Below are 13,096 nucleotides of genomic sequence, written 5' to 3'. Positions count from 1 at the left end.
TCCATAATAGAAATGCTAGAAGGTTAGAAGGTTTCAGTCATGTCCCCAAAAGGCCCCAGTCTGGGTGAGACAGAGGACAGAGGAGGACGAGGACAGAGAACAAGGACATCCCCAGCCCTGTGGGTTCAGGGATCGGAGGGAGGTGGGAGAAATTGGTGCTCCCAGAGGGGACAACCTGGCTGGACGAGGGGCAGAGGGAGTGACAGCAGGGGTTTGGGCAGCTGTGGAACCAGGAGCAGGGGGAAAGAGGACGGCAGGGGCAGGGTGTCTTTAGTGGATGACTGGCTTTGAGAGCTTCTGGGTCGTCGTGTTTAGAAGGGGTGGAGTCCAGGTGAAGAGGGCGAGAACCGCACCCGGGGGAACAGGAGCGCCCCAGGGAGGTCCCACACCCTGCAGCCCCACCTGCGCCTTGCCCCTGCACAGCCCCGCGCTCCGCCAGCAGGGAGCGCACACGCAGGTGCAAGGAGCTGGCACCTGGGCACACACCTGGCCACACACCTGTGCAGAGCCGGTGGCAGGCCCTCCCGGCGCAGGAATGGCGTGCCCCCAGCTGCCGCCACTTCTGCTTTTGGTGCTGGTGGTGCTGCTGAAAGCTGGTGTGAATTACAATACTCCCTTTACAGGTAAGAGCTGGTAAAGAGGCTCAGCTTCCAGAAAGCGGAAGGGTGGGGGTGGGGGACGCACAGCCCAGTCACACACCTGGCTTCTGGACCCCTCCCTCAGGCCACGCTGGTCCGCCAACCCTCCGAGGAAGGCTGGGTTTTCCCCCAGAAACAAACGGAGCAGCTGTGAGGACAGATGAGGCACCGCTGCTCCCAAGCCCTGGGGCTGTGGGTCCTGCAACTCCAGTGAGCCCTGAACCTGCTGGAGGCCACAGATGGCCTCACACCTACTTTTGGGCTCCTTTTCAAATCTGTTGCTTTTAGCCAATCCCCAAAGGGAGAATGGTGAAGACCTCAGGGCCATGGGGGTTCCAGGGAACAGGGACTCACTTCCTGGTCATCAAACATCTGTGGTTCCCATGAGAAGTTCTTCTGGGTGTCTGACTTAATTCCCTCTTGCTCTCCTATAAGACAGTGCCTAGGGTGGAGGGGAGGAGCCTTGAGCTTCTCGCATTCCCTTTTTCTGCCCTTTACCTGCCACTATGTTGTCACTCTCTCTGACCGGTGTCCTACCCCACAGACCTGTAATAGCAGAGCAGAGGCCACCATGGCTGCTGAAATGCTCATTGCAGGGAAGGGTTTCATTCAGAAGGCACCACTTTTATCCCCATTTCATAGCTCAGGAAACTGAGGCTCAGTCCAGCTTGTCCCAGACCCAGATTAGAACTGGTTGACTTGGCTCATGTGAGCCTCCCAGTCTAGGAGTCTCTGGGGAGAGCAAACACCCAGCACAGTGCCTAGAAACATCTTTATTTTTACCTTCTGGTCAACCCTTCAGCAGCTCACCAGTGCCTACTCAGTGCCAGGCACTCAACAGGGCTTGTGTCCTCCAACTCTTCCTTTTTCAAGTCCACAGCTTTTCCTCAGTTCACTAAGCACTCAGCTCCCCAGAATTCTGACTTGGCTTGGGGTCCACTCTGGCCTCTGAATCATCTTCATTTCAGCAGAAACAGAGGACAAGGGTCCTTGAGGGGCGTTCTTCCCAGCTCCCCAGTCACCTCAGGCCAGACCCTCTGCTACTCTGAGCCTCAGTTTCTCATCTGTCAAATGGGGATGAAGCCCAGCCTGAGTTCCATGCCTCTTCTAGACTCAGCCGTCATCCCCACAGGGCCTGGGGGGCTACATAGAGATCTGGGGAGGGTGGCATGTGGACCCAGCCCCCTCTCAGGGCCAGTGTTGTGTGTTATTTCCGCATTTCTGCTGCCTAGGGTGAGTCAAGGAGGAAGCACAAAGTTTGGCCCAGAGCAGAGTGCATGGGTGGAGCAGAGAGTTGATGAATGAACTTGTAAGTGCCTAAGAGGCCCAGTCACCTGGAACTGGGTGGGAAGTCGTTGTGGGAGGTGGCTCATGAACTGCTTACCTGCCCTCAGCCTGGTCCCTGGACTCCATGCCTGGGATGGGATGTGAGCCAGGAAGTAGCTGGACCAACACGTAGAAGGGTGGGTTCCGGAGACATGTTCCCAGCGCCTGTGTCTTTGTGTCTTCCATTAAAGTTGAGGTTAGCCTAGGGCTACCTGGAGAAAATTAGGGCTGATCCTCTCTGAGCTCATAGGTGGATCTTTATAGTTGAGTGTCACTGTGCACCCACTGTGTTTCTATTCTATTGTGTGTGTGTGTTTTTTTTTTTTTTGAGACGGAGTCTCACTCTGTTGCCTAGGCTGGAGTTCAGTGGCATGATCATGGCTTACTGCAGCCTTGAACTCCTGGACTCAAGCGATCCTCCCACCTCAGCCTCCTGAGTAGCTGGGACTAGGCATGCACCACCATGCCTGGCTAATTTTTGTTTTATTTTTTTGTAGAGACAAGGTCTCATTATGTCTCCCAGGCAGGAGTGCAGTGGCGCAATCATGGCGCACTACAGCCTTGAATTCCTGGGGTCAGGCAATCCTCCCGCCTCAGCCTCCCCAGTAGCTGGGAGCACCCAGCTTGTGTACACCCACTATGAACCTGACTGATGAACTGTCAGAGGCACCAACTCCACATGAACTCCATTTTACAGAAAAGAAAACTGAGTCCCAGAAAATTTAAAGGAGCTGCCCAGCACTGCCTGGGATGCAGTCACTTCCCATATCCAAAGGGCTTCTAGAGCTCTCAGCCAAGAGGACTGGGAACGCTGATCTGCACTTGAACCCAGGCTGTGGGACTTCAGACCAGGAGCATGAATTTGAGTGGGAGCTTCAGTTTCCCACTGAGAGCTCACATGGTGTCCTAAATCTTTCAGGTCTCCCTATGACCTGGACAAAAAAATAAATTAATTAAAAATAAAAATGAAAAGGCTGGGCATGATGGCTTATGCCTGTAATCCCAGCACTTTGGGAGGCCAAGGCAGGTGGATCATCTGAGGTCAGAAGTTCGAGACAAATCTGGCCAGCACAGTGAAACTAAAAATGCAAAAATTAGCCAGGCGTGGTAATGCACGCCTGTAATCCCAGCTACTTGGGAGGCTGAGGCAGGAGAATTGCTTGTACCCAGGAGGTGGAGGTTGCAGTGAGCTGAGATGGCACCACTGCTCTCCAGCCTGGGTGACAGAGCGAGACGCCATCTCAAAAAAAGAAAAAAAAAAAGAGAGAGAGAAAGAGAGAGAGAGAGGGTCTCGCTATGTTGCCCAGGCTGGTCTCTAATTCCTGGGTTCAAGTGATGCTCTCACCTTGACCTCTCAAAGTGCTGGAATTACAGGCGTGAGCCACCGCGCCCAGTTTTTCTTTCCAGATATTGTGACCTCAGAGAACAGTATGGAGACATCACCTGTCAGCTCTCTGATTTCTTCTCCCTTCGCCCACAGCACCCACAGTTCAGGGGAACCCCCCAAATCCTACTCCAGCACCATGAGTTTGGAGACAGACTCCATAACCCACCTCAGCCCCTCAAGTTCAGGGGCAACCCCTACCATCCAGCCGAGCCCCAGCTCCACAGATTCAAGGATGATACCCTCCTCCCCACAACCAGAGACAATCACGCACCCTAGTTCTGGCTCCCCCAGTGCAGAGCTCACCCCCTCTTCCCATTCCACCCTCCCCAGTTCCGAATCCCTGACCCCGCACTGGAGCCCCACTTCCCACAGCCCCGGAACGGAGCCCTTGACCTCCACTGACCAGACCTTGGAGCCCCCTGGCCCAGGTGAGTATTAAGAGATTTGGGTGTTTGTAGGGAGGTGGCGGGTGTAACAGGCTGCAGTTTTGGAACTGACCACCAGGGGGAGGTACAGCCCCGAGAATGCTCTAGGAAGGGCTTCTTGTCTCTGCTCCATTGTCTAAAGCTCTTCATGCTATGCGCATTTATTAAGTGCCTAGTGTATGTCACGGCTGGGCACGCAGCGATGGGCAAAGAGAGAAACTAATACTTGCTGTGGTGGGGAGACAGGTTATACATTATGTATTTGGGCCTGGGCAAAATAGCAGGACTTTGTCTCTACAAAAAAATCTAAAAATGGCGGGGCGCGGTGGCTCAAGCCTGTAATCCCAGCACTTTGGGAGGCCGAGGGCGGGGGCGGGGGCGGGGGGGGCGTGTATCACGAGGTCAAGAGTTCAAGACCAGCCTGGCCAAAATGGTGAAACCCCGTCTCTATTAAAACTACAAAAATTAGCCAGGCGTGGTGGCAGACGCCTGTAATCTCAGCAACTCGGGAGGCTGAGGCAGGAGAATCGCTTGAACCCAGGCGGCAGAGGTTGCAGTGAGCTGAGATCGTGCCACTGCACTCCAGCCTGGGTGGCAGAGTAAGACTCTGTCTCAAATAAATAAATAAATAAAATAAAAATGGCTGGGCGTGGTGGTTCACATCTGTAATCCCAGCACTTTGGGAGGCCAAGGTGGGAGGATCACCTGAGGTCAGGAGTTCAAGACCAGCCTGGCCAACATGGTGAAACCCCGTCTCTACTAAAAATACAAAAAATAGCCAGGCATGGTGGCGGGCGCCTGTAATCCGGGCTACTTGGGAGGCTGAGGCAGGAAAATAATTTGAACCCAGGAGGCGGAGGTTGGAGTGAGCCCACATTGAACCACTGCACTCCAGCCTGGGAGACAGAGCAAGACTCCATCTCGGGGGGGAAAAAAAAGACTCTATCTCAAAAATAAATAAAGTAATTGATTAAATAAAATTTAAAAATTAGGCTGGGCTCAGTGGCCCACGCCTGTAATCCCAGCACTTTGGGAGGCCGAGGCGGGTGGATCACCTGAGCCAATGAGTTCAAGACCAGCCTGGGCAACATGGTGAAACCCCATCTCTACTAAATATGTACACAAATTAGCTGGGTGTGGTGGCACACACTTGTAGTCTCAGCTACTGGGGAGGCTGAGGTAAGAGGATCACTAGATCCTTGGAGATGGAGGTCACAGTAAGCTGAGATAACGTCACTGCACTCCAGCCTGTGTGACAGAGCAAGACCCTGTCTCAAAAAAAAAAAAAAAAAATTGTCCAGGCATGGTGGTGCATGCCTGTAATCCTAGCTACTTGGGAGGCTGAGGTGGGAGGATCACTTGAGCCCAGGAGATAGAGGCTGCAGTGAGCTGTGATTGCACTACTGCACTCCAGCCTGGGTGACAGAGTGAGACCCTGTCTCTAAAATACATGATTAAAAAGTGGCAGCCTCAACTGGAGAGGGAAGAGAGGTCAGCTTCCTGAGAACAGATTTTAAAAGGCTCTGGGCCCTGGTGGGTGTCTTAGGCTTGTGGGGAATAGGACCCAGTGCTGACTCTGAGTTCCTTTCCCCAGCTCCAGGTGACACTGGGCCCCGTGAGTTACACAGGAACCCGAGTGTGGTGGTGGTCGTGTGTTTGCTGGTGTCTCTTTTGCTCATCGGGTCTGTGGTCATGGCTGTGAGATTCTGTCACCGGAATGAGTCCAAGTTTGAGAACCTGGACGAGGTGTCCATGGTAAGGTAGGGCTGGGCTGGGGGCTCAGCCCTGGGGCCAAGGCATGGTTGGGGGAGCTGCTATCCCAAGCAGGGCCAACCTGGGCTGCAGAGCCTTTTGGTGTCTGAATGCCTCCCTGTGTGTTCCTTCCTCAGGGATCCGTGAATGACAGATTGTCCTTTGCCCACCACCTCCAGGAGTGAGCCCTGAGGAGCCAACAGAGATGGGGGCATGGATGGGGCTGGGGTTCCTGGGGAGGAGCAGAACCTGAGGAAATAAAGCCCCTACCATTCATCCAAGGCCTCGTGTGAAAACACGAGTTATGGACTCGTGTGAAAACATTAACTGAGCACCTACTATGTGCTGGGCTCTGTGCTGGGGTCACAGTGGGGACCATGTCTTTACTTTCAGGGGATCCACAGACTCAAGGCAGGGACAGATAAGAATCAGGAGCTCACTTGGCTGGGTGCGGTGGTTCACACCTGTAATCCCAGCACTTTGGGAGGCCAAGGCGGGCAGATCTCCTGAGCTTAGGAGTTTGAGACCAGCCTGGCTAACATGGCGAAACTCTGTCTGTACTAAAAATACAAAAATTAGCTGAGCGTGGTGGCAGGTGCCTGTAATCCCAGCTACTCAGGAGGCTGAGGCAGAGAATCGCTTGAACCAGGGAGGCGGAGGTTGCAGTGAGCTGAGATCGCCCCATTGTACTCCAGCCTGGGCAACAGAGCAAGACTCCATCTCAAAAAAAAAAAAAATAGGGCCAGGCGTAGTGGCTTACACCTGTAATCCCAGCACTTTGGAAGGCAAAGGTGGGTGGATCATTTGAGGTCAGGAGTTCAAGACCAGCCTGGTCAACATGGTGAAACCCCATCTTTACTAAAAATACAAAAATTAGCCAGGCGTGGTGGTGTGTGCCTGTAATCCCAGCTATTAGGGAGGCTGAGGCAGGAGAATTGGTTGAGCCTGGGAGTCAGAGGTTGCGGTAAGCTGAGATTGCACCACTGCACTCTAGTCTGGGTGACAGAGTGAGACCCTGTCTCAAAACAAACAAACAAAACTGGGGGTGCCGGGCATGGTGGCTTACCACTGTAATCTCAGCACTTTGAGAAGCTGAGGTGGGTGAATTGCTTGAGCTTGGTAGTTTGAGACCAAATTGGGCAAAATGGCAAAACCCCATCTCTCTCTCTTTTTTTCTTTTTTGAGACAGTCTCCCTCTGTCACCTAGGCTGGAGTGCAGTAGTGCAGTCTTGGCTCACTGCAGCCTCTGACTCCTGGGTTCAAGCCATTCTTTTTTTTTTTTTTTTAATAAGATGGAGTTTCGCTCTTGTTGCCCACACTGGAGTGCAGTGACACGATCTCAGCTCACTGCAACCTCTGCCTCCTGGGTTCAAACGATTCTCCTGCTTCAGCCTCCCAAGTAGCTGGGATTACAGGCACCTGCCACCACACTCAGCTAATTTTTTTGTATTTTTAGTAGAGATGGGGCTTCACCATGTTGGCCAGGATGGTCTCGATCTCCTGATCTCGTGATCCACCCGCCTCCGCCTCCCAAAGTGCTGGGATTACAGGCGTGAGCCACCGCGCCCAGCCAATGACCAGAGAGGGTCTTTGATCTACCCGGGGCGGCACAGCACAGCGGGCAACTTTCCTGGAGCCCCCAAGCTCCTTAGGCCACACCCCATGGGCTCTGCTTGGAAGCAGATATCCTAGACCCTGAGTTGATAAAATCCCCCCCTTCCCAGAGCTGCTGGTCCCCTACCACCATCTTCCTTCGCGCCCTCTCTCTCACTCTATCATATGCAAACACATGAACAATTAATCTTAACACCTCTCACCCAGCCTCCTCACTCCTACGCCTCCCTTCCCTCCTTCCCCCCTCCTTCCTCTGCCCTCCCCGCCCCTCCCCCTCCATGCCCGGCCACCCTCTTGGCCACTCTCTCGTCCCCTCAGGCCCTCTTGGACACTCTGCCCTCCACCCACTGGGAGCCTCACCCAAGGAAAGTGTGTGGATTATGTCCTGGCCTGGTGCCCAGACAGTTAAGGGGCTCCGCTGAGTGGGTGTTGAGGGAGCCCTGGGCCTCCCTCTTGGTCAGGTCATTTTCTCCCCTCCTTCCCTCACTAGCCAGCAGGTCATGGGACCCAGGCAGGACTCCGCAGTGGTGGTAAGTGCCAGACATGCCTGGGCCTCCTGGAGCAAGCTTATTCTTGAGCTTGGGGGCGTCTCAGGAGAGGTGCTGGGGTCTCGTAATCCCCCTGAAACCATCAGAGCCACTCTGGGAGCTGAATGGGTCTCCCATGTGTCTGGGGCCAGGAGACCTTGTTTCGCCAGTCCTGATGCCCCCACCCAGGCTGCTGAACCTGGACAGGTGTGGGGAGGGGCTTTGGGCACCTGGCTGCTGTCCCTGGATGGGGACCGCTGCAAGGTCCGGGCGGGTGTCTCACACTGGTGCCTGTGGTGTGGTCCATGCCACCTTGATTTAGTTCCTTGGGGTTCAAGGGAGGGTGCAGAGAGTGTGGGAGTGAGCTTCTGTCTAGGGGGTGTCCCACAGGGCCGTACCTGGGCTCCCAGTGGTCTGGAGGTCTCAGAACCATTTCTGCAGGGCCACAGATGCCAGCAGCATGAGGCACAGCAGGACAACACTCTCCTTCCTGCTGAGTGAAGTGAGTAGGGGGTGGGGGTGGCCCAGGCCATGGTGGGGAGATCCCAGAGACCCTCTACTGAGAAATACCCAGAGCTGGCCAGGCGCGGTGGCTCACGCCTGCAATCCTAGCACTTTGGGAGGGCGAAGCAGGCGGATCACTTGAGGTCAGGAGTTCAAGACCAACCTGGCCAACATGGAGAAACCCCGTCTCTACTAGACACACAAAAAACTTAGCTGGGCATGGTGGCTCATGCCTGTAGTCCAGCTACTTGGAGGCTGAGGCAGGAGAATTGCTTGAACCTGGGAGGCGGAGGTTGCAGTGAGTTGAGATCACGCCACTGCACTCCAGCCTGGGAGACAGAGTGAGACTCTGTCCCCACCACCAAAAAAAAAAGAAACACTTAGAGCTGCTCGGGGACCAGCTCACAGGGGCCCACTGAGGCCCAGAGAGGCCACCAGGGAATTGGGGACCTGATCCAACTGTCCAGCCCAGGGCTGTGGCCACTGCTTTTGGGAGCAGGAGATCCCTTGTGCCTGGACACAAGGTTTTGACTCACCCAAGAAAAGGGGACCTGGCTGCCCCCGGGCCTGAGCAGTGGGTCATGAGGTCACAACTTCAGATCACAGCCAGTGCCCCCATTCTGGGAAACTGAGCCAAGAGGAAAACCCTGCGGGGGCTGGATTCAAATCCCAGGCCCATCACCTGAGTGGCTGGTAACCTCTCTAGGACTCAGTGGTTTCTGTTGTTGTTTTGTTTTGTTTTTTAGACAGGGTCTCACTCTGTCGCCCAGGCTGGAGTGCAGTGATGTGATTTTTGCTCTCTGCCATCTCTGCTTCCCGGGTTTAAGTGATTCTCCTCCCTCAGCTTCCCGAGCAGCTGGAGTTACAGGCACAAGCCTTGACGCCCGGCTGATTTTTGTATTTTTAGTAGAGACGGGTTTCTCCATGTTGGCCAGGCTGGTCTTGAACCCCTGATCTTAAGTGACCCACCTGCCTCAGCCTCCCAAAGTGCTGGGATTACAGGCATGAACCACCATACCTGGCCAGAACTCAGCGTTTTTGTGTGTTAAAAAACTGGGCTAACTTTGTGTGGAATGAGGGTGCTCAGGGTGAGCCTCGGGTCTCCTAGGGCAGGCGTAGCTGCATATGCCTTAATGTTTATTTATCCACACTCCAGCCATCTGCAGGAAGAGGAAAGGAAAAGGGTAGTCTGGGCGCGGTGGCTCACGCCTGTAATCTCAGCGCTTTGGGAGGCCGAGGCAGGTGGATCGCTTGAGCCGAGGAGTTCAAGACCATCCTGGGTAACACAGTAAGACCCTATCTCTATTAAAAAAAAAAAAATAGCCAGTCATGGTGGTGTACGCCTGTAGTCCCAGCTACTTGGGAGGCTAAGGTAGGAGGACTGCTTGAGCACGGGAGGTCGAGGCTGCAGTGAACCGTGATCATGCCACTGCACTCCAGGCTGGGTGACAGAGCGAGACTCCATCTCAAAAAAAAAAAAAAAAAAATTAGCCTGGTGTGGTGGCGGGCACCTGTAATCCCAGCTACTTGGGAGGCTGAGGCAGGAGGATCGCTTGAACCCGGAAGGCAGGGGTTGCAGTGAGCCAAGATCACACCACTGCACTGCACTCCAGCCTGGATGACAGAGTAAGACTCTGTCTCAAAAAAAAAAAAAAAAAATTAGCTGGGCATGGTGGCAGGTGCCTGTAATCCCACCTACTCGGGAGGCTGAGGCAGTAGAATCGTTTGAACCTGGGAGGTGAAGTTTGTAGTGAGCTGAGATTGCGCCACTGCACTCCAGCCTGGACAACAGAGCGAGACTCCGTCTCAAAAAATAATGATAATAATAAATAAATAAAGGACCTTCTGATGACCTCTCCCACACTCAGCTCACAGCATCAGTCATTTCACCTGCACATGGGCACCCGCTGTGTGCCAAGCCACATGCTGAGTGTGTAGGACACAGAACTGCAGTGACAGGCCCCAAAATGACAGGGCTCATGAGACAGATGTTAAGGCAAGAAAAAAGAGAAAATGTGGGGTTGGGTGAGTGCTCATGAGACTGCTCGAGCTGGGCAGGAGGGCCTTCTCCGGGAAGTTGACATTTTAGCTGAAGTATGGATGGAAACAAGCAGCTGGCCATTTTAACAGCCGGGGGAAGGGTGTCCCCGGCAGATGGCACAGCACATGCAAAGGCCCCGAGGCAGGTTTAAGGAACAGCAAAGAGGCCAGGCACGGTGGCTCACACATGTAATCCCAGCACTTTGGGAGGCTGAGGCAGGTGGATCACTTGAGGACAGGAGTTTGAGACCAGCCTCGCCAACCTGGAGAAACCCTGTCTCTACTAAAAATACAAAAAATAAGCTGGGTGTTGTGACAGGCACCTGTAATCCTAGCTACCTGGGAGGCTGAGGCAGGAGAATTGCTTGAACCCAGGAGGTGGAGGTTGCAGTGAGCCGAGATTGTGCCACTGCACTCCAGCCTGGGCAACAGAGTGCGACTCTGTCTCAAACAAACAAACAAACAAACAAACAAACAAACAAAAAACCAACAACAGGCTAGGCACAGTGGCTCATGCTTGTAATCCCAGCACTTTGGGAGGCCACAACTGGCGGATCATGAGGTCAAGAGATCGAGACCATCCTGGCCAACATGGTGAAACCCTGTCTCTACTACAAATACAAAAAATTAGCAGTGCATGGTGGCACGCGCCTGCAGTCCCAGCTACTCGGCATGCTGAGGCAGGAAGATCACCTGAACCTGGGAGGCAGAGGTTGCAGTGAGACAATATCGCGCCACTGCACTTCAGCCTGGGTGAAGGAGTGAGACTCCATCTCAACAGAAAATAAAAAAAGAAAGAAAGAAAAAGAAAAAAAAAAAGCTGGTCACTGTGGCTCATGCCTGTAATCCTAGCAGTGTGGGAGGCCAAGGCAGGTGGATCACCTGAGGTTGTGAGTTTGAGACCAGCCTGATCGACATGGAGAAACCCCGTCTCTACTAACAATACAAAATTACCTGGGTGTGGTGGTGCATGACTGTAATCCCAGCTACTCGGGAGGCTGAGGCAGAAGGATCGCTTGAACCCAGGAGGCGGAGGTTGCGGTGAGCCAAGATCGCGTCATTGCACTCCAGCCTGGGTGACAAGAGGGAAGGCCCTGTCTCAAAAAACAAACCAAAACAAACAACAACAACAACAACAACAAAACCCAACAACAACAAAAGGGAGCTCTCAGCTAGGTGTGGTCGCGGTCGCCTGTAATCTCAGAACTTTGGGAGGCTGAGGTGGGAGGATTGCTTTATCCCAGGGGGCCGAGGCTGCAGTGAGCTGTGACTGCGCCACTGCACTCCAGCCTGGGTGACAGAGTGAGACGTCGTCTCAAAAAAAAAAACAAAACAAAACAAAAAGGGGAGGTAGCTCAGGGTCTCCTACGAAGGCCTTCCCCACCCAGGAGCCTCCCATCAGGCCCTCCATCCCCATCCCAGCTTCTTAATGAAGAGGGCAATTAATCAGGAGTAGCAGGGCCAGGTGCAGCAGTTCATGCCTGTAATCCTAGCACTTTAGGCCGAGGTGGGTGGATTACTTGAGGCCAGGAGTTAGAGACCAGCCTGGCCAACAGGGTGAAACCCTGTCTCTACTAAAAATAAAAAAATAAAAAATAAAAAAAAAGATTAGCCTGGCATCGTGGTGGGCGCCTGTAATCCCAGCTACTCAGGAGGCTGAGGTGGGAGAATCACATGAAACAGGGAGTTGGAGGTTGGAGTGAGCCGAGATGGCACCACTGCACTCCAGCCTGGGCAACAGAGTGAGACTTTGTCTCAAAAATAAAAGATAAAAAATCAGGAGTGGTAGGTTGATGTGTGCTGCAGCTGAGACCAGAGGACACCCCACTATACCCCATCCCTAGTCCCTGGGAGCCCCATCCTTACCCCATTCCACTCCAGATGGGGGAGGGATAGCTGGCTGGGTCCCAGGAATCAGGGCTCTTGGGAGCACCCCCGCATCTGACCAACAGCCAGATGCTGGCAACTGCCCCCAGACCTGTTAGGTCTGTTTCACCTTCAGTTGAGCCAGGTCCCCCATAATTCCAGATCCAAACATTCAGCTGCCTCTGCTGGCTCCATCTGGGACTCATGTGATGCTCCAGCGAAATTGGAACCCACCCAAAGCCTGGTGCTTCCCCCAATTTTCCCCATGCAAGTAATGGCAGCCCCATTCCCCAGGTAACTGTGTGACTCCTGGCTTTCTGAAAAACAAGTAATCATGCTTAATAATCACCAGTCACCACCGGATGTGGTGGCTCACGCCTGTAATCTTAGCAATTTGGGAGGCCTAGGTGGGTGGATCCCGTGAGGTCAGGAGTTCGAGACCAGCCTGGCCAACATGGTGAAATCCTGTCTCTACTAAAAAATACAATTAATTGGGCATGGTGGTGGGCACCTGTAATCCCAGCTACTCGGGAGGCTGAGGCAGGAGAATTGCTTGAAAATGGGAGGCAGAGGTTGCAGGTTGCAGTGAGACTGTGCCATTACACTACAGCCTGGGCAACAAGAGCGAAACTCTGTCTCGAAAGAAAAAAAAAGTCACCAGTCACCCTTGAATCTTCTCTTTCTCACACCCCGTGGCTATGGCCTGTCTTTCAGCCCCCAAAACATATCTCAGATCCACTCACAGGCCCCGCTCTGGTCCATATCACCTGGCCACTGCTCTAGCCTCTGCCCCAGGGATAGGCCCTGCTCTCCAAATTGGCCACAGCAGGCTTCCTGTGATCCCCAAGTAGATCACATTCCTCAAAACCTCAACATTCTCCCAGAATCAAATCCTAAGTCCTCACCCAGCCCCTGAAGCAATGAACTTCCCTCCACCCTGGCCCTTGGCTCCCAATTCCCTTTTTTTTTTTTTTTTTTGAGGTGAAAGTCTTGCTCTGTGGCCCAGGCTAGAGTGCA

At 53.6% G+C, this 13,096-nt stretch overlaps 2 protein-coding genes across 4 annotated transcripts in view, besides 1 other annotated feature; both read left to right on the top strand.

Moving 5' to 3' along the window:
- The first annotated feature begins 423 nt into the window (after positions 1-423).
- On the top strand, positions 424-5,893 carry CIST1 (colon, intestine and stomach enriched 1). Of its 2 annotated transcripts, none has more exons than NR_036575.1 (4): positions 424-623; positions 3,682-3,779; positions 5,371-5,531; positions 5,666-5,893. NR_036575.1 is itself a non-coding variant. In NM_001396036.2 (4 exons), the coding sequence occupies exons 1-4, from the start codon at positions 536-538 to the stop codon at positions 5,711-5,713; spliced, it is 705 nt and encodes a 234-aa protein (NP_001382965.1). In that variant the 5' UTR covers positions 481-535; the 3' UTR covers positions 5,714-5,809. The 2 variants fall into 2 exon arrangements, 1 of the variants encoding a protein (NP_001382965.1); NM_001396036.2 differs by having other exon boundaries at positions 481-623; positions 3,372-3,779; positions 5,666-5,809.
- PDE4C (phosphodiesterase 4C) overlaps positions 481-13,096 on the top strand; it is a 47,398-nt gene continuing 34,782 nt past the window's right edge. The window contains exons 1-3 of one of the 2 annotated variants that reach the window (NM_001414480.1): positions 481-623; positions 3,682-3,779; positions 5,371-5,531. The gene's annotated coding sequence lies outside the window, so the exon portion shown is untranslated. Of the gene's footprint in view, positions 624-3,681; positions 3,780-5,370; positions 5,532-7,642; positions 7,673-13,096 lie in introns of those variants that run through there. The other variant, NM_000923.6, reaches the window with a different exon arrangement.
- Positions 6,599-7,502: an enhancer, noted in NCBI's record as "H3K27ac-H3K4me1 hESC enhancer chr19:18359151-18360054 (GRCh37/hg19 assembly coordinates)". NCBI's record gives its function as "activates a minimal SCP1, AML or CMV promoter by ChIP-STARR-seq in primed H9 embryonic stem cells {active_cell/tissue: H9 hESC(primed)}" and the evidence as "EXISTENCE:reporter gene assay evidence [ECO:0000049][PMID:30033119]".

This window comes from Homo sapiens, chromosome 19, assembly GCF_000001405.40.
Source record: "Homo sapiens chromosome 19, GRCh38.p14 Primary Assembly".
NCBI classification, from domain to species: Eukaryota; Metazoa; Chordata; class Mammalia; order Primates; family Hominidae; genus Homo; species Homo sapiens.
This window is presented reverse-complemented; position numbering and strand designations above follow the sequence as displayed.

What these genes read in the sequence shown, in the direction of transcription:
- CIST1 (NM_001396036.2), top strand. Translation starts at nt 536, where the DNA reads ATGGCGTGCCCCCAGCTGCCGCCACTTCTGCTTTTGGTGCTGGTGGTG. An exon ending in CTTGGAGCCCCCTGGCCCAG is followed by an intron (nt 3,780 to 5,370) that starts GTGAGTATTAAG and finishes TCCTTTCCCCAG; the next exon opens with CTCCAGGTGACACTGGGCCC. An exon ending in ACCTGGACGAGGTGTCCATG is followed by an intron (nt 5,532 to 5,665) that starts GTAAGGTAGGGC and finishes TTCCTTCCTCAG; the next exon opens with GGATCCGTGAATGACAGATT.